Source organism: Homo sapiens, chromosome 13 (assembly GCF_000001405.40).
Source record: "Homo sapiens chromosome 13, GRCh38.p14 Primary Assembly".
NCBI lineage: Eukaryota > Metazoa > Chordata > Mammalia > Primates > Hominidae > Homo > Homo sapiens.
This window is the reverse complement of record NC_000013.11, coordinates 40,910,556-40,930,082: the sequence shown is the minus strand read 5'-3', so window position 1 is coordinate 40,930,082 and position 19,527 is coordinate 40,910,556. Positions and strand designations below refer to the sequence as shown.

The 19,527-nt window shown below is 41.3% G+C and overlaps 2 pseudogenes across 3 annotated transcripts in view, besides 6 other annotated features; both read left to right on the top strand.

The window, feature by feature from the left end:
* Window positions 1,906-2,025: an enhancer, noted in NCBI's record as "active region_7618". NCBI's record gives its function as "activates an Ori minimal core promoter by ATAC-STARR-seq in GM12878 lymphoblastoid cells {active_cell/tissue: GM12878}" and the evidence as "EXISTENCE:reporter gene assay evidence [ECO:0000049][PMID:35858748]".
* Window positions 5,876-6,170: a silencer, noted in NCBI's record as "tiled region #5240; HepG2 Repressive non-DNase unmatched - State 23:Low". NCBI's record gives its function as "represses a minimal TATA promoter and a strong SV40 promoter by Sharpr-MPRA in HepG2 cells {active_cell/tissue: HepG2}" and the evidence as "EXISTENCE:reporter gene assay evidence [ECO:0000049][PMID:27701403]".
* Window positions 7,774-8,360: an enhancer, noted in NCBI's record as "H3K27ac hESC enhancer chr13:41495859-41496445 (GRCh37/hg19 assembly coordinates)". NCBI's record gives its function as "activates a minimal SCP1, AML or CMV promoter by ChIP-STARR-seq in primed H9 embryonic stem cells {active_cell/tissue: H9 hESC(primed)}" and the evidence as "EXISTENCE:reporter gene assay evidence [ECO:0000049][PMID:30033119]".
* Window positions 8,081-8,130: an enhancer, noted in NCBI's record as "active region_7617". NCBI's record gives its function as "activates an Ori minimal core promoter by ATAC-STARR-seq in GM12878 lymphoblastoid cells {active_cell/tissue: GM12878}" and the evidence as "EXISTENCE:reporter gene assay evidence [ECO:0000049][PMID:35858748]".
* On the top strand, window positions 8,309-18,196 carry SUGT1P3 (SUGT1 pseudogene 3; annotated as a pseudogene). The gene is made up of 3 exons (NR_003365.2): window positions 8,309-8,464; window positions 8,552-8,609; window positions 17,360-18,196. The product of NR_003365.2 is annotated as an SUGT1 pseudogene 3 (transcript).
* Window positions 8,333-19,527, top strand: part of TPTE2P5 (TPTE2 pseudogene 5) — a 124,766-nt pseudogene continuing 113,571 nt past the window's right edge. For both annotated transcript variants that reach the window (NR_038259.1, NR_038258.1), the window contains exon 1: window positions 8,333-8,464. The product of NR_038259.1 is annotated as a TPTE2 pseudogene 5, transcript variant 2 (transcript). The remainder of the gene's footprint in view (window positions 8,465-19,527) is intronic.
* Window positions 17,894-18,601: an enhancer, noted in NCBI's record as "POU3F2 HCT overlapping SUGT1P3, chr13:40383618-40384325 amplified region (NCBI36/hg18 genome assembly coordinates)". NCBI's record gives its function as "activates a mouse minimal Fos promoter in transgenic zebrafish G0 embryos {active_cell/tissue: forebrain | midbrain | hindbrain | heart}" and the evidence as "EXISTENCE:transgenic organism evidence [ECO:0001131][PMID:20363979]".
* Window positions 18,152-18,426: a conserved region, noted in NCBI's record as "conserved region; HCT with multiple POU3F2 binding motifs". NCBI's record gives the evidence for it as "EXISTENCE:sequence alignment evidence [ECO:0000200][PMID:20363979]".

Sequence of the window (19,527 nt, the reverse complement as noted above, 5' to 3'; positions counted from 1 at the left end):
AGCTACTTGGGAGGCCAAGGCAGGAGGATCACTTGAGGCAGGGAGATGGAGGCTGCAGTGAGCCATGATCATGCCACCACACTCCAGCCTAGGTGACAGAGGGAGACCCTGTATTCAAAAAAAAAAAAAAAGGGAGAAGAAAGTCATATAGTAAGAACCTTAGGACTTCAAAAGCTTAGTCTTTTGGTTTTAACTAAGTACCAGCTACTGAGGAACCTGTTTTTCCCCCATTAGAATATCTTATGTATCCATATATTCCTTTTTTATATCTATAGCTATCATCCTAGTTGTAGTCTTTTCTATGTTATTCTTGCCACCGTTTATTCACTTAAACCATATATGAGTGTGTATTTTGTGGCAGGCAGTATTCTCTGTGCTGGAGGTAGGTCAGTGAACAAAACAGACAATAGCCTCCCAAGTGACTTCCTGCTTGTGAACTCTTAGTTTATCAATATGAACTGTTTTTACTCACACTTCTGACACTAAAAGCTTGGGATTTTTTCACACCCACACCCAGTTCTGACACCAACTGGGTGTCTTTGTCCTACAATTCAGTTCAATTCTGACCCTAACCACTTGGAGTTAGCACAGACCCCACAGGTTAAGGGGCTTAGTCTCTCAAAACTGCCCCTCCTTCAGATGCCCATTGCAAGTCCCAGGTTTCCACTTGTACTTCTGACCAGCTAGCTATAAATCAGGGGTTCCCATGACCCCCACCCACTTAGGTTGGATAATTTGCTAAAAGAGCACACAAAACTCAGGGAACCAATTTACTGGTTTACATTTATGTCAATTTATTATAAAGAATAGAGCTCATGAACAGCCAAATGAAAAATGCATAAAGCAATGAATGGGAGGAAGTGAACAGAGCTGCTCTGCCGTCTCACGATGTGCCACCCACCTAGCACCTCAAAGTGTTTACCAGCCTAGATGTTCTCCAGACACCATCATTTTACGAGTTTTTAAATGAAGCTTTTATTACATAGGCATGCCTGATTAAATCATTGGCCATTGGTGATTGAACTCAATCTCTACACCCTCTCCTCTCCTTGGGGATGGGACTGAAAGTTCCAATTCTAATTACATGGTTGGTTTCTCTGGAAATCATTTCCCATCCTGAAACTATCTGGGGACCCATGAAGTGTCCACCTTATTAGCATAAACTCAGGTATGGTTGAAAGGAGCTTGTTACGAATAACAAAAGATGCTCTTCCCTTCTAAATGCCAAAGGTTTCAGAAGCTAGGGTGTCAGGAACCTAGGGATAAAAGCCAAATAAAATGTTTTTATTGTATCACAATCATGCACCTATTTACAGAATAGTCTTTCTAAAATATCCCTTGGCAGTTTGGGCAACATAGTGAGACCCCATCTCCAGAAAAAGTAAAAATATCACAGTGCATGGTGGCAAGAGCCTGTAGTCCCAGCTATTCAGGAGGCTGAAGTGGGAGATCTGTTGAGCCTGGGAGGTTGAGGCTGCAGTGAGCTGTGATTACAGCACTGCACTCCAGCCTGGGTGACAGAATGAGACCCTGTCTCAAAAAAATCAAATAAAAATATCCCTTGGGAATACATAATGTTCATATATGGAAACCCTCAATACCTTTCTACTTGTAGGATAAAGTCCAAAATCCTTAGCTTACCATTCAAATTCCTCCATCAAACTGGGTTCCTAGGCCAACTATTTCAGTGTTATCCTTTTTTTTTTTTCTTTGAGACAGTTTCTCGCTCTGTTACTAAGTCTGGAGTGCAGTGGCACAATCTTGGCTTACTGCAACCACCGCCTCCTGGGGCTCAAGAGTTCCTCAGCCTCCTGAGTAGCTGGGACCACAGGTGTGTACTGTGCCTGGCTAATTTTTTTTTTTTGTATTTTTGTAGAAAGGGGTTTTTGCCATGTTGCCTAGGCTGGTCTCCAGCTCCTGGGCTCAAGAGATCCGCCCCCGCTTAGCCTCCCAAAGTGCTGAGATTACAGGAGTGAGCCCTTGTACCCTGCCGATGTTTTTCTTAAAATGCAAATTTTTTGGTTCCACCCCATACTTACTGAATTTGCATCTCATGGGAAAGCTGTACAATTTGCTTTTTTTTTTTTTTCCTCCCGAGACAGAGTCTCGTTCTGTCGCCCAGGCTGGAGTGTAGTGTCACGATCTCGGCTCACTGCAACCTCCGCCTCCCGGGTTCAAGCAATTTTCCTGTCTCAGCCTCCCAAGTAGCTGGGATTACAGGCGCCTGCCACCACGCCCGGCTAATTTTGGTATTTTTAGTAGAGACGGGGTTTTGCCATGTTGCCCAGGCTGGTCTCGAACTCCTGACCTCAGGTGATACGCCCACGTCGGCCTCTCAAAATGCTGAGATTACAGGCATGAGCCATCGTGCCCGGCCTCTACTTGAATTTTACAATCAGTTTGTCAACTTCTAAAAGGGAAAAGCCTCTGGGATTTTTAGTTTTATTTTATTTCAGAGATGGGGTCTTGTTATATTGCCTAGGCTGGTCTCGGACTCCTGGCCTCAAGCGAACTTCTGGCCTCCTGTCTCAGGCCCCAGTAGCTGAGATTACAGCCCCACTTGGGATTTTGATTGGGATCATGTTGAGTCTATAGGTCAGTCTCGGAAGATCTCAACAATATTGAGTCTTTGACTCATCAATTTGGAGGAGCTCTCCATTTTTCAGTCTTCTTTAATTTTTTTTTTTTTTTTTTGAAATGGAGTCTCGCTCTCTCGCCCAGGCTGGAGTGCAGTGGCGCAATCTCGGCTCACTGCAAGCTCCGCCTCCCGGGTTCACCCATTCTCCTCCCTCAGCCTCCCGAGTGGCTGGGACTACGGGCGCCCGCCACCACGCCCGGCTAGTTTTTTTGTATTTCTTTAGTAGAGACGGGGTTTCACCGTGTTAGCCAGGATGGTCTCCATATCCTGACCTCGTGATCCGCCCGCCTCGCCCTCCCAAAGTGCTGGGATTACAGGCGTGAGCCCCCGCGCCTGGCCAATTTCTTTTCTTTTCTTTTTTTCTTTTTCTTTTCTTTTCCTTTCTTTTCTTTTCTTTTTTTTTTTCTTTTTGAGACGGAGTTTCACTCTTGTTGCCCAGGCTGGAGTGCAGTGGCGCAATCTTGGTTCACCGCAACCTCCGCCTGCTGGGTTCAAGTGATTCTCCTGCCTCAGCCTCCCGCGGAGCTGGGATTACAGGCATGTGCCACCATGACCGACTAATTTTGTATTTTTAATAGAGGCGGGGTTTCTCCATGTTGTTCAGGCTGGTCTTGAGCTCCCGACCTCAGGCGATCCACCCATCTCGGCCTCCCGAGTCTTCTTTAATTTCTTTCAGCAATGTTTTATAGTTTCCAGTGCACATGTCTTGCATATCTCTTGTCAGATTTACTTTTTAGTATTTAATATTTTTTATGTTACTGTAAATGTCATGGCTTTTTACATTTTAAATTTTGATTATTAGTGATTTTGCTTTAAATCTTTTTTCTATTTTATTAAAGTATAACTTTGTAAAGTGCACAAATCCGTATATAAAACTTTGTAAAGTGCACAAATTCATAAACCTCTCTTTGGGAAAGCTTTATTGTGAAAAAGATACAAATAAGATAGTCTTGTTAGATTCAGTTCGAAAGGAAATTATCAAGTGTAACACGCTTACTTAAGGATGGCCTCGACATTAGATTGGGAAGATTTTCTCTTTCAAATGAATGAAAATGATCCCTTTCATAGGAAGATGTTAGGTAACACAGGATAAGTGACTAAATATTTTCACTCTTCGAGTTGAAGACCAACTATCCTTCAAGAAATGTCCCCTAATCCAGCATGGTTATTCTTCACCTTCTTTAAATTAACCAAGCGAAGTACATTGGCATATTTAGTTGTGTCATTTGAATATGAAAACATATTTTATCAATGACTTCTTAAGTATTTGTCTGTCCTTCCTCCCAAGGTTTCAATAAACTGATGCCAAGAATTTATGGAGAAAATTATAAAAGTTTACTAAAAGATATGAGAAACGGAATGAATGAAGCAAGCAATTGTGTTCATGGACAGGAAAAGGCAATACAAGGGAAAGATATCATTTCTCCCCAAGCTAGTCTGCAAAATAAATAAAGTGAAACATTTTTGTTGTTGTTGTTGTTGCTGTTGTTTTTTTAAAGACAAAGAGGCTCGCACTGTTGCCCAGGCTGGAGTGCAGTGGCATGATCATAGCCTCAACTTCTTGGGCTCAAGCGATCCTCCTGACTCAGCCTCCCAAATAGCTGAGGCACATGCCACCATGCTTGGCTAATGCTTTCTATTTATTTATTTTTTGTACAGACAAGTTCTCCCCATCTTGCCCAGGCTGGTCTTGAACTCTTGGGCTCAAGCAATTTTTCTGCCTTGGCCTCCCAAAGTGCTGAGATTACAGGCATGAGCTACTGCACCCAGGCTGCACAAATCTTGTGTATAACTTGATACAATTTTATGTCTCAATACACTTCTGTGATTACCAGCCAGATCAAGATATGTAACATTTCCTGCATCCAAGAAGGTTTCTTCATGCCCCTGCTCCCCACCCTCCCTGACAACCAGGAGATTCCCTTATGATACCTCTCACTACAGTTTTTTATCTTCATATAAATGAAATCAATCATGATATACTCTGTCTGGCTTCTTTACCTCAACTTATGTATATAGGATTCATCCATATTGTTTGGTATAGTAGTAGTACATTCTTATTCATTGCTATGTAATTTTTTTATCCAATTTGAGGACATTTAGATTATTTCCAGTTTTTGCTACTGTGGATAATGCTGCGATGAATATTCTTGTATATGATCATAAATACTCAGGTATATGCCCAGTGGTACAATTATTGGGCAGTATGTTATGTGTATAACTAGCTTTAGTAGATAGTGTCTGATATAGTTTGGGTATGTGCCCTCACCCAAACCTCATGTCAAATTATAATACCCAATGTTGGAGGTTGGGCCTGACGGGAGGTAATTGGATCATGGGAGTGGGTTTCTTATGAATGATTAAGTACCATCCCCCTTGGTACTGTCCTCGCAACAGTGAATGAGTTCTTGGGAAAGCTGGTTGTTTAAAAGTGTGTGGCACCTCCCCCCACCCTACTTGCTCTTGCTCCTGCCACGTAAGATGCCGGCTCTACCTTTGCCTTCTGCTATGATTGGAAGCTTCCTGAGGGCTCCCCAAAAGCAGAAGCTGCTATGCTTCTTGTGCAGTCTGCAGAACCATGAGCCAATTAAACATTTTTTCTTTATAAATTACCCAGTCTCAGGTATTTCTTTATAGCAATGCAAGAACAGACTAATACCGTGTCACACAGTTTTCCAAAATGATCAACTAATTTAAACTCTCATCAACAATATATGAAACATATAGTTGCTCCATATTCTTGTCAATGCTTGGTATTGGAAGTCCTTTAATTTAAGCCATTCTGGTGGTAGTTTTGGAATCTCATAATTTCAATGTCCATGATACAGCTATTTTTTTTTTTTTGAGACAGTCTGACTCTATTGCCCAGGCTGTAGTGCAGTGGTGCCACCTTGCTCACTGCAACCTCCGCCTCCCAGGTTCGAGCAATTTTGTGCCTCAGCCTCCCTAGTAGCTGGGATTACAGGTGCTCACCACCACGCCCAGTTAATTTTTGTATTTTTAGTAGAGATGGGGTTTTGTCATGCTGCCCAGGCTGGTCTCCAACTCCTGGCCTCAAGGGAGCCACCCACCTCAAGCTCCCAAAATGTTGGAATTACAGGCGTGAGCCACTGCGCCTGGCCATGACATAGCTATTAATATAGAACTTTTCATGTTGGACCTATAGGTCAATCTTGGAATTTGCCCTTTCAGAGGCTATTCATATTTATATGCATATTGGTGCATGGCAGGGGCTGGTGTACACACCTTGGTGTATGGCTGAGCCATAACTGGAGCATACTGAGAATAACCCTATTCTAAGTGTGTTTGGAGTCCTAGGCTAAGGAAGCCAGGAGTAGCCAACACTAAGATTCACTCCTTATCTATGAAAGACATCCACACCCCTGCTCCATCTCTTAGAACACAGGCTGTACAGTGGAGCAAGGCCCTTTGTTTTGGGTTAAATGGAGGTTGCTAGAAGGAGGGTGCTAAGTGAAAATGCTATATAGACTACATGCTTTTTTTTATGAACAGTAGTGGTTCTCCAGGCCACCCCACCACCACTGGACCACCCCTGTATGTAAGTCCTGAATAAACCTTATATCTCCTTAGCTGGCTCTGCCTCTCCTATAGTACCATCCCAATCGGAATCAATGGGGATCTGGAAGGACAACTGGCCATTTAGATAACAAGTGAAAATTAACCAATGTAATTGGTTACATTGTAACATTATTATTAAAAATATTTTTAAAATTACTATATAACATATTATTATTAAAAAATACATATGAACATTTCAATAAAGGCAGAAAAAGCACTTGATATTGAATGCTTTCCTCTTGATGTTACAACCAAGACAAGGAAGTCCATTATCACTATTTCTATTCAATAGTGGACATACTAGCCAGCAACAAAACTAAAACGTATAAAGATTACAGAGAAGTTAAACCATCTTTATTCACGATTGCAAGATTGTCATCACATAAATTCCAAAAGACTCTACACAGTATTACAAATAATAAGGGAACTTAGCAAGATGCTTGAATGTAACATCAATATGTAAAAATCAATAGCGTTTCTATAGTCTTACAACAAACGAGAATATTTAAAAAATGCTATTTAACATCGCATTCAAAACACTATTCAAAAAGAAATCTAATGAAAGATATGTTTGATCTCTATACTGCAGTCTATCCAAACACAGCTGCATTAAAGTATAAATATGTGTATAATCTACAAAACATTGCCAGGAGAAATTAGAGGCCACTTAAATAAACGGCCACTTAAATGGATTGAAGGACTTAATATTGTTAATATACTAGTTATCCCCAAACAGATCTATAGATCCAATGCAAGCCCAGTACAAGTCCCAGCAGTTTTGTTTTTTTTAAAACTGACAAGCTAATTCCAAAATCACCTAGAAATACAATGGCCTTAGAATAAGCCAAAGCAATCTTGGGAGAATAAAGGACTTCAAGACTTATTATAAAGCTACGTTAATTAACACAGTTTGGTAGTGGTATAAAGTCAGATAAAGACCACTCCCTCCAGCTCCTCAATCTGACCCCACCCCTGGAACGCGCTGGCAGCTTTCCCCATGGGATGTGCATGGGTCAAAGGGCGCTGAGGGAGGACCTGAACGACTGGGTTGGGAAACAAAGCGGCCCTGAGATCACTTCAGGCCACCTTCCGCCCCTCAGTGCTTTCGTATAGAAAAGGTTTTCCTTCTTGATCTGGGAAGCCCACTAAGAAGAAAGCCTGGGCTGTGGAGTTATGAGGAAGGGAATGAATAGTACGCGGGCGCCGGGCGCGTCTCCCCGGGCACCAGAAGGCTTTTAGCCGCTGCTAGGTCAGAACGACTTCTAGCGAGTCCCAGCCCTTTTCCATTCCCAGCGCAATGATCGCGGGAATCCAGGCGCCATCCAGGCCCCTCTGTTCACTGAAAAGACCACGCAGCCGCCAGTGACATCACGGAGACGAAAGCCATGATAAAACCCAGGGAAAACGGAGCTCGAAGTAGCTTGTGTTTTATATATATATATATATATATATATATATATTTTTTTTTTTTTTTTTTTTTTTTTTTTTTTTTGAGACGGAGTCTTGCTCTGTCGCCCAGGCTGGAGTACAGTGGTCCGATCTCGGCTTACTGCAACCTCTGCCGCCCGGGTTCAAGGGATTCTCCTGCCTCATCCTCCCGAGTAGCTGGGATTACAGGCGCGTGCCACCACGCCCGGCTAGTTTTTATATTTTTAGTAGACGGGGTTTCAGCATCTTGGCCAGGCTGGTCTTGAATTCCTGACCTCGTGATCCACCCGTCTCGGCCTCCCAAAGTGCTGGGATTACAGGTGTGAGCCACCACGCTCGGCCTGTAGCTTGTGTTATTAACGGACAAGGAAACGCCCCTGCGCGTACACGTTCTTGAGGGATAACAGTATGTTACAAAAGTGCTTCTGAGCTACTACTCCTGGAGGCTCGGTCGGAGTGCCCGCGGACGTGGGCGCGGTGGAAAAGAGGGAGAACCTGTAGGCCCAGGCCTCCGTAAACATGGCTACGATGGGCGGGGACTGGGAGCGCAGGTCCCGGGCCGGGTTGCGGGCTGGGAGGACTCGGTCCTCCACTGTCCCAGCCGGCCACGCGCCCGCGTGTCGCCTCCCGTCCCGCTAGCAGCACGCTGCGTGGCTGCTCGTTGGCTGCTTAAGACGGAAGCTCGGTTGATGTTTCTGCAGAAGTTTTCCCCCTTGGTCGGTGGCGGAGCTGCTGAGCGCGATAGTAGCAGCTCCGGCGGCAGCAACATTGACTACGAGGAATGGCGGCGGCTGCCGCAGGACCTGCAGCATCCCAGAGGTGCGTGTTTTTCCTTCCCTTTGCTATTTATTTTATACCCCTTTCCTTGGTTAGTGGGCCCTGCTGAAGTCGTTGTTTTCCTGACAGGTTTTTCCAGAGCTTCTCAGATGCTCTAATCGACCAGGACCCCCAGGCGGCGTTAGAGGTGGGAGAGCCTTTTCTGCTTCCTCCACTCCCGGCTGACCCGCCTCCTTCCAGCACCGCCTGATTAGGACTCAGGCTCTAGTGATGCTGCGTCTCAGCCCCAGTATTGAGATTCTCGGTCTCCTTTCTCTCTCTCACGGTAGCCGCGTTACCTCAGACTCCTGTCTTGCCCTTTCCACTTCCAGACTCTTGCATTCCTGAAGCTTCTGAGAAAAACTTCCTCTATTTATTGGGAGCATGGTTGGCATCTGCAGTTGGGCTGAAAGGATTTTTTTTTTTAATGACTAGAAGAGAAAAGTGGACTCTGGGCTCGATGAAAATTAATTTTTTCTTTTGACAATCATTGTTGCCATTCTTATGTAAAAGTGTCGGTATGAAGTCAGTCTACTGGAACAAAAACCTCTTCCCTCACGTCCCGGAAACTTTCCAGATGTCTTGTCATAGTTCATTATTCACTCATTTGTTTATTTATCAAAAAATTTTTTAGGAGTTGCTGTGTGCAAAGGCGCTCATTGCTATGGGTTAGTCTTAGTTATATACTTAGCTAACCTAGAGATCACTGCTTGTAGGTGTGCAGTGAAGACAAACTATAAAGCTGTAAAGGAATGTAAAAGAGCAAGAGTTGATAAGAGTTGAAGAAGAGACTAAGCTAAAGATAAATGATGCTGTGGGTCACAGAATTTTAACAGGAGATCTTTTTTGTTTTTTGTTTTGTTTGTTTCTTTTTGCTTTAAAGCACAGAAAAAAAGGAAACCCTGTTTTGTTGTTATGATCTAACATAAGTAAGGTTAACAATTTGAGGCAAGACAGCGTCTTTTCTAGCTATGGCTTTTATAAGAAATGTGCCACAGGGTACTAGAGGCTCTGTTAAGGTGATATTTGAGCAGAGACCTGAAGGAACAAGAGAATTAGCTTGGAACCTCTGGGGAAAGAGCATTCCAGTCAGGACCAAGAGCCAGTGCAGAGATCCTGAAGTAGGAATGAAGTGGGCCTGTGTATGGAGCAGCAAAAAGGCCCTTTTTTATTAGAGGGCCCATTTGATTAGGAGGTAAGGTTGGACAGGAAACTAGGAGCCAGGTCCTGTAAGGCCTTTTGGGGTCCAGGTATGTTTTTTGAATCTAAATATATAGACCTTTAGATACCAGCAATAAGTCTTCTGGGATCAGTTTTGGGATAATGTTACAGGAAGCAGTGAGAATTTTTCTCCATAATTCCTTATATTAGATAGCTATTACTTTGAATTTACATTTCTTAATTGTCATGTTAGGCCTAGTGCTTCCTTTGGAAATCTAGTTTATATAAAAGTTGCTTTTAGGCTGGGCGCAGTGGCTCATGTCTGTAATCCCAGCACTTTGGGAGGCCAAGTGGGGCGGATCGCTTGAGGTTAGGAGTTGGAGAGCAGCCTGGCCAACATGTTGAAACGCTGTTTGTACTAAAAATACAAAAAAAGAATTAGCCAGGTGTAGTGGTATGCACCTGTTGTCCCAGCTACTCGGGAGGCTGAGGCAGGAGAATCTCTTGAACCTGGGAAGCGGAGGTTGCGGTGAGCTGAGATCATGACACTGCACTCCAGCCTGGGTGACAGAGAGAGACTCTGTCTCAAAAAAAAAAAAAAAAGTTGCTTTTAAAGAATATTAATATAATGAACTTCATTATCATTTTCCATCTTATTTTACTTATTATTATTATTATTTTTGAGACGGGGTCTCACTCTGTCACCCAGGCTGGAGTGCAATGGCACAATCTCGGCTCACCTCTGCCTCCCAGGTTCAAGTGATTCTCCTGCCTCAGCCTCCCAAGTAGCTGGAATTACAGGTGCACACCACCACATCCGGCTAATTTTTGTACTTTTTAGTAGAGATGGGGTTTCGCCATGTTGGCCAGGCTGGTCTCAAACTCCTGATCTCAGGTGATCCGCCCACCTCAGCCTCCCAAAGTGCTAGGATTACAGGTATGACCGTGCCCAGCCTTAAATTTTTTATTGAGACATATATGATAATATGTAAATAACACAAATTTTAACTCTACAGTTTGATGAGTTTTTACGTATATGTACACCACCCAGATCAAGATATAGAGCATCTCCATTTATAAAGTTCCTTCATGCTCCTTCCCAGCCAGCAATTCTTCTTACTGTCCTGCTGACTCCTGTTTTCACCTTCATCACCATCAGCTCATTTTGCTTGTTCTTGACTCATAAACAGAATCATATAGTAGGTGGTTCGTTCAATGTAGGCAGTCTGTTTTTGCTTTAATCATTACATGAGTATACATCCATATTGTGTGAAGCAGTAGTTCTTTTGCATTGCTGTGTAATATTCCATTGTATAATTGTATAAATATATGTTGTATAAATGTAAGTATAGCACAATTTATTCTTATTGGACATCTTGTTTATTTCTAGTTGTTAGCTAGTATAAATAAAGCTTCTGTGAGTACTCTTGTGTGTATTTTGGTGAACACATGCATTTCTTTCTTTTGATTGTATATACCTAGGAGTAGAATTGCATAGAATAGTCATGTGGATAGCACTAATGGATAGCACTAGTACCTTGGTTTTTAATGTGTGGCTCTTGGACCAGCAGTATCAGGATTACCTGCAATTCATCAGAAGTGCAAATTCTTACTGAAAGTCCTTATGGGCCAGGCTTGGTGGCTTACGCCTGTAATCCCAGCACTTTGGGAGTCCGAGGCAGGTGGATCACCTGAGGTCAGGAGTTTGAGACCAGCCTGGCCAACGTAGTGAAACCCCGTCTCTATTAAAAATACAAAAAATTAGCTGGGCCATGGTGGCAGGTGCATGAAATCCCAGCTACTTGGGAGGCTGAGGCAGGAGAATCGCTTGAACCCGGGAGGCAGAGGTTGCAGTGTGCCGAGATCACACCATTGCACTCCAGCCTGGGTGAGAGAGTGAGATTCCGCCTCAAAAAAAAAAAAAGTCCTTATGACTCATGTAGTCCAGTACTTCTTACTCTTCCTTTTCACAGTGTACATAAGAAAGCAGACCTGGCTGAGTGTGGTGGCTCATGCCTGTAATCCTACCACTTTGGGAGGCGGAGGTGGGAGGATCACGAGACTGGGAGTTTGAGATCAGGAGTTCAAGACCAGCCTAGGCAACATAAAGAGACCCCATTTCTTAAAAAGAAAACTGAGACCCAAGTAAATCCAAGTGATCTGTCATAGAGACACACCAGTTACACGCAGAAGGGGGACCTCAGGACACAGGTTTCCCAAATTTTAGTCTAGTGCTATAGAACAGTGGTCCTTAAAGATGTGGGCTTCAGATGAGCTGCAGCATCAACATATTAGAAATGCAAATTATTTATTTATTTGAGACGGAGTGTCGCTCTGTCACCCAGGCTGGAATGCAGTGGCGCAATCTCAGCTCACTGCAACCTCCGCCTCCCAGGTTCAAGCAATTCTCCTGCGTCTGCCTCCCAATTAGCTGGGATTACAGACACGTGTAACCACATCCAGCTGATTTTTGTATTTTTAGTAGAGATGGGGTTTCACCATGTTGGCCAGGCTGGTCTGAAACTCTTGGCCTCAAATGATCCACTCCCCTCAGCCTCCCAAAGTGCTGGGATTATAGGCGTGAGCCACCGTGCCTGGCCCTAGAAATGCAAATTCTCAGGACCCACCACAGACCCCTAATCAGAAACCTTGGGTGTGGGGAGGATGATCATGATAAGAACCAGCTGTGTTAAGAAGAAATGTTCTTTTTAAACTGTGAGATGACCTTACAAAGATGAACAGATCAATGTAAATTATTAAATAATTGGTAATGATAAGTAGGGCTGAATCCTTGATGATGAATGTGAGGGTATTTCTCCTGGATTTTCCCAAGGGCTACTTTAACGCCATTTGGGATTCAGGTTACTTGGAATCTTGTGAGTTAAAATGTGTATATTTTATATAAGGTCATCCAATTAGGAATAAAGGGGAAATGTTCTTATCACATATGCTATTTCACATTTTTCATTCGTTGAACAAAGAATGAACATTAAGTGGTGAATGTTGTACTGGAAATCAGGAATCTAAGGATGAAAAAACTTCAGTAAGTGAGTTTTCAGTCTAGTGGAAAGACAAACAAGGTACTGTAATGGGGTTGTGTATAAAAGAGCATAGCAGAATAGAATCTGACTGAGGGACTTAAAAACTTTACAGAGGAGGTTGCAAAATTCAGTAGGGAGAGAAAACGTGTGAATTTTGAGAATCGTTCAAGGCGCAGTATGTGTGGTGGTTAAGAGTCCAGGCTCTGGAGTCAGAGACTCTTGGGTCAAAATTCTGGTTTCATGATAACTGTGTAACTTCAGTAAGGTTCCTGTCATCACTCCAGAGCAGACTTCTCATCTGTCAAATGGGAACAAATAGGACCTACTTGAAAGTGTTATTATGAGGATAAGTGAGGTACCCTGTATTATATGCTTAGTACAATGCCAGGCACATGGTAAAGACTACATAACTGTTCTGTTTTGGGAATAATACAAGTTGTTCAGTAGTATTAGAACATAAAATATGAGGAGGCAAGTGCTAGGAGATAAAGGCTAAACAAGTGGAGAGAGGCCAGGCCATCAAAGGCATTAAATCTCAGCAGATGGTTTTCGGTTTTATCATATGATCATGGAGATCTGTGAAGAATTTAGAGGAAGGAAACGAAATTTTCTGAATTACAAAACCTACTTTAAAAGCAGAGTAGATAATGAGTTGGAGGAGGTACAAGGGATAGTGGATCGCAGGAAGATGGTGATGCAGACCAGGTCAAAGATGAATATCTGCATGTAGGGCAGTGATTGAGGGCATGGAGGGGAGCTGTTTTATGTAAAATTCACTGGACTTGATGATTGGAATATAAGGGATGACTCCTGAGTTTCTGGCTGGGAGAATGTAGTAGGATTTGGTGCCTTTCACTTAAATAGCACCTAGGATAATAGCACTTAGAAGATTGCGTTCAGCATGGGGGAATAGGTTTGCAGAGAGGAAGTAGTTTTAGATTTTGAATATTTGTATGTGAATTGCCTCTGGGACATTTCGGGTGAACTCTAGAGAAAACTATGCTGATATTGCACAGGAGCACTGTCTAGGCTCTTAAGATAGACTTGAGTCATCAGGATGATTCAAGACATATGTGAAGCCCCAACACCACTTAAAGAGTCGAAGAATGTTTCTAAAAGGGAGGAAGTCTAAGTACTAAGCCCAAGGAAAACATTAGATTTTTAATTTTTATTTATTTATTTATTTTTATTTTTTGAGACAGAGTTTTGCTCTTGTCACCTAGGCTGGAGTGCAACGGCACGATCTCAGCTCACTGCAACCTCCACCTCCTGGGTTCAAGCGATTCTCCTGCCTCAGCCTCCCAAGTAGCTGTGATTACAGGCATGCACCCACCATGCCTGGCTTATTTTTGTATTTTTTGTAGAGATGTGGTTTCACTATGTTGGCCAGGCTGGTCTCGAACTTCTGACCTCAGGTGATCCACCTGCCACGGCCTCCCAAAGTGCTGGGATTACAGGTGTGAGCTACCTCGCCTAGCCCGGAAAACATTAGTTTTTAAGAAGCAACAGAATGGTAAGCTGAAAGGCCTTATCTTTCAGCTTGTTGGATTTGATAAGGGGTTACTAGTGGCTTTGAGAAGATTAAGACTGGAGAGGCAAACGTTTTTATATTTTGTGGCAAAGGAGATGCAGTCAAATTAGAGACCGGGGGAAAGGCGGAAAAATGTCTGCAAGGAGAGAAATCAATACTTTTCACTGAGTGCTTACTGGGTGCCAGGTATAGATCTAAGTAAGCCCAAAACCCTGGAGTAATCTTCAATTTATCTTATCCCACATTGGCAAGTCTTGCTGGTTCTAATATATTCCAGCTCATTGTATTTCTCATCACCTCTGTGGCTAACATCCTTTTCTAGCCTAGACTTAATGTAGAAGTTTCCTAAGAAGTCTCTGTTTCCAGTCCTGATTTGTTATAATGTATTCACCATACAGCAACCAGAAAGACATTTAAAAAGGGTAAACTGGACCATGTCACTCTCCTACTAACAATGAACTTTCCATGGCTTTCCATCACACCTAAGATCCAAATTTCTTATGACAGCCTGCAAGGTACAATGTGAGGCCCTTGAAGTAGCATCTTAGTTTCTTTGCTGTCTTAGTTTGAGCCACACTTTCTTTCTGTTGATTGAATGTGACCCCAGGTGAGTTGAAGGGCATCTGTATTCATTGCTTTGTGATAATTATGCTACTAGGTTAAAGCAAAGTCAGTGACACATGTGGCTATTGAAATAATTTTACCATTTAAGAAAACTACCAAATCCCTAGAGTTTGTAGGCAGTTGGCAGAAAATAAAAGTGTTCCTGCACTTGTCCTTGATCTCCCTAATTGTGTAATCTCTTACATCATTATTTTTATAGCTGCCACACCTATATGTTGTGACTGCACAGGGTGAAAAAGTTTTAATCTGTCTAATGTTAACTCTTGATCAGTTACTATAGCCATCTATTAGATTGTATCTGGGCTTTGAACAGAATGTTTAATTGCATTTTATTAGAGTTGTGTGTTATTGATAGAGGTTAAGAGAGGGCCAGGTAAGCTTGATGGTGTATGTATTGATTGTCTTAACCTCCCTGAGCTCTAGATTTAACTTTTAGTCTTTTTTTATTGGACAGCTATTGGACAGCTTCACATTTTCTAGGAAACTCAAATTCTATATGATGTCTGAATCTTCTCCAAATTAGAAGGACAAAATCTGTAATGGTCAATATGTATCAATTAAACTCTTCAGAATATGTGAGGTGATAATAATTACCATTTATTGAGTTCCATAGGCCAGGAACTAAATGCTATTTTTGTTGTTGTTTTTTTGAGATGGAGTATCACTCTTATCACCCAGGCTGGAGTGCAGTGGCATGTTCTCGGCTCACTGCAACCTCCGCCTCCCAGGTTCAAGCGATTCTCCTGCCTTAGCCTCCCAAGTAGCTGGGATTGCAGGCGTGCGCCACCATGCCTGGCTAATTTTTGTATTTTTAGTAGAGACAGGGTTTCACCATGTTGGCCAGGCTGGTCTTGAACTCCTGACCTCAGGTGATCCACCTGCCTCAGCCTCCCAAAGTGCTGGGGTTACAGGTGTGAGCCACTGTGCTCAGCCCCTAAATGCTTTACAGTACAGAGATGCTATATTAGATTGTCTACTTTTGGGAGGAAGGGCAGGAGAAGGGGAGATCCTCTTATGAGGAAACACTCCAAGATTACATCCCTGTTATCTTTCCTCCAAATAGTTTCTGATAAGTTATTTGTTTAAAAATTATGTTTTAATTAGAATTTGATGGCTTTTTAAAAACTTTTACTGACACCCAACATGTTTGTTTTTGTAGGAGCTGACTAAGGCTTTGGAACAGAAACCAGATGATACACAATATTATTGTCAAAGAGCTTATTGTCACATTCTTCTTGGGAATTACTGTGGTAGTTTTTCTTATAAAGTATATTGTCCCTTTTTAATAAGTTACTTATACATTTTACCCATGGCCAATTAATCAAATAAAATAAAGGTTGTCTTTGAGGATTTTTAAATTGGTCTTTCATACAAGGTAAAGTAGCTCAAGTGTGACAGACATGTTGAACAACACCTATTTAAATTTTATGGATGTCTCTTTTTCCTCAGTGGGTGGATAATGTATATAGATTTCATTCGTAGTTATTGGGTAGGCTGATAAAGAATTAGTATCATATTTACTATTTGACAGAGTATTAAAATGAAATGCTCTTCTTTGTATTTTTTTTTTTATAAAAAAGAATGTGGCCAGGCATGGTGGCTCACTCCTATAATCCCAGCACTTTGGGAGGCCAAAGCAGGAGGATCATATGAACCCAGGAGTTCGAGTCCAGCCTGGACAACAGAGCAAGACCCTATCTATACTAAAAAAAAAATGTATTTCTGTATTGTGTAACTTTAAAAATTATTCTGATGAAGAATCTGGATAGGGAAAAACTGAAGACTTTTTTTTTTAGACGAATTTTTGCTCTTGTTGCCTAGGCTGGAGTGCAGTGGCATGATCTCAGCTCACTGCACTCTCTGCCTTCCAGGTTCAAGCGATTCTCCTGCCTCAGCCTCCCAGGTAGCTGGGACTACAAGCACATGCCACCATGCCCGGCTAATTCTGTATTTTTAGCAGAGACGGGGTTTCACCATGTTGGCCAGGCTGGTCTCAAACTCCTGACCACAGGTGATCTGCCCACCTTGGCCTCCCAGAGTGCTGGGATTACAGGTGTGAGCCACTGCACCTGGCCAAATTACATAGATGATGCTAATGAGAAAAGGAGATGAATTTTGTGACACAGTTGTATTCATTGACTGAAGAGCTTTAGGAAGGAAGCTAAATGTTCAGCCAAAAGGAAGGTACAAGAGTAACATTTATTTGAATTCTGTCTTGGATTAGCTTTTCCAAATTTAAAACCATCTGGCATTTCTACCAACTTGAAAACTTAGAAATCTAAAACTGATCCATATTCTGTTTGTATTTGCTAGAATCTGTAAATAACTGATGAAAAACCCATCTTTTTCTTTCTTTCTTTTTTTTTTTTTTGAGACGGAGTCTTGCTCTGTCACCCAGACTGGAGTGCAGTGGCACAATCTTGGCTCACTGCAACCTCTGCCTCCCAGGTTCAAGTAATTCTCCTGCCTCAGCCTCCTGAGTAGCTGGGACTACAGGCGCGTGCCACCATGCCCGGCTAATTTTTTGTATTTTTTTTTTAGTAGAGACGGGGTTTCACCATGTTAGCCAGACTAGTCTCGATCTGCTGACCTCGTGATCCACCTGCCTTGGCCTCCCAAAGTGCTGGGATTACAGGCATGAGCCACCATGCCTGGCCAAAAACCCATCTTTTTCTACATAGTTGCTGTTGCTGATGTAAAGAAGTCTCGTGAACTCAATCCAAATAATTCCACTGCTGTGCTGAGAAAAGGGTATGCAATAGCTACTCTTTTTGTTGAGCTTGGACTGTAAATAATAGATGTTTAATTTGTTGAATGAGTTCATTGTAAGCTTTATAAGTAGTAAAATTATTTATACATATTATAGCAGAGATATGATTCAATTTTAAATATAAAGTTATAGTTCTATTATTTTGTTAACCATAATATGTGATAGGAGATCTATACTTAATATATTTTAAAATAGTGATGATTGAAATAACTGCAGGGTATAGATGAAACTGATGCATTTCACATTCCTTTTTTGTTTATCATTTGGAATTTACTCTATTTAACTGACTGGTGAACATCCTATTATTCAACCAAGCTGAATAGGCTACATTTAATGCTATGAAAGCTCTGTATCTATGTGCTTTATATCCCATCTTGTTTCTGTTGATAAGTGTAACTTTATTCTTTAAGTAAGAAACTGCTTTAATTCCTTTGTATAATTATATTTTGGAATAAGCAAGTATGTATAATTAAAGTGAAATTCCTTCTGAAGTAAGTTCTAAAATTGAATTTTACTGGAAATTATACTAGATGTTAACAGTATTTTAGAAAGTCTCTTGGCTTACTAACATATGCTTAAAATAAATTTTTTCTTTCAACAATAGAAAATACTAAATGTTTTTATTTAGAAAGAAGGCTATTTTCCAGATCTTGTGTGTGTGTTAATTTGTTTTAAATATGTTCATGCAGGATATGTGAATACCATTAAAAAAAACTATGCTGCTTCTCTAGAAACTTTTATAGAAGGACAAAAATTAGATAGTAAGAATTAAATTGTAGTTTTATAAACTTATCCATTTCTGTCTGAAATACCAAAGCTGAATTTTGTTAATGTTAATCTCAAGTTAATTACAGAAACCCAATACCTATTTTTCTCATCTTAATTACACTTCATATTGATTGCAGATATGGGATCACTTAAAATTGGTTAAATCAGCCTTTTAGCATTTAAACCACAGATAAACTTACCATTAGAAGTAAAAAGCCATATGGAAACACTTAACATGCTCTCTCTATTTAGTCTGGCTTTGTTTTTTTCTAATGGAGAAATGAAAATTTAATTTGCTTTCTTGGTCAGAAGTCTGTTCATTTTAAGTTATTCAGAATGCTGAGATGGGAAATCTTAACACTTATAGAGAAGTGAAGTGTATAGTTTGATAAATTATGAGAGGGTACAGAAGAAACACAGAGTTTTGAGAGTATTGTGAGTTTTTAATGTTATATTTTTTAGGGGAATATATGAAGATTATCACAGCAGTGTAGATATCTAGACATATATAGAAATTGTGAGAGCAAGAATTTTAAAATTGGAAAAATACTAAGATAGAGGTTGTGAGTAATCCCAGAAAATTGTAGACTACATAATCCTACTTGTACTATTATTTTATCTTTATGTTATGATAGAATTTTATCACAATTCTCTAAAGCAGTGGTTCTTAACTGGAAACAATTTTGTTTCCCAGGAAACTTTAGGCAATGTTTGAAAGATTTTTGGTTATCATGAATGTTGGATAGGGGATGAGCTACTGACATGTAATGAATATAAACCAGGGGTGCTACTAAATATCCTATAATGCCCAGGACAGTGCTGCCCAACAGAGAAGTATCTAGTTCAAAGTGTCAGTAGTGCTGAGTTAAGAAACTCTGCTCTTACATATTATCTGTTAAATTCTTACTCTGTACTGCTTTAAAGGTTTGCTTTTCTGCTGTATACCTGTTCAAAAAAGGATTTTAGGCCTCATTACACAAATGGAAGCTACAAATTAGGAAAGGAAAGGTCTGGGTGATAGGACTTATTCTCAAATTTGCTTATCCCAGTTTCAGTTTTGGCATGTGAATAATAGGGCTATTCAGTCAGCAAGACAGCATATCTACACTCTTAGCAAATTCTAGAGTCAGGTTATCTAGTGCCTTGATACATATTTGAAAACCCTGAAAAA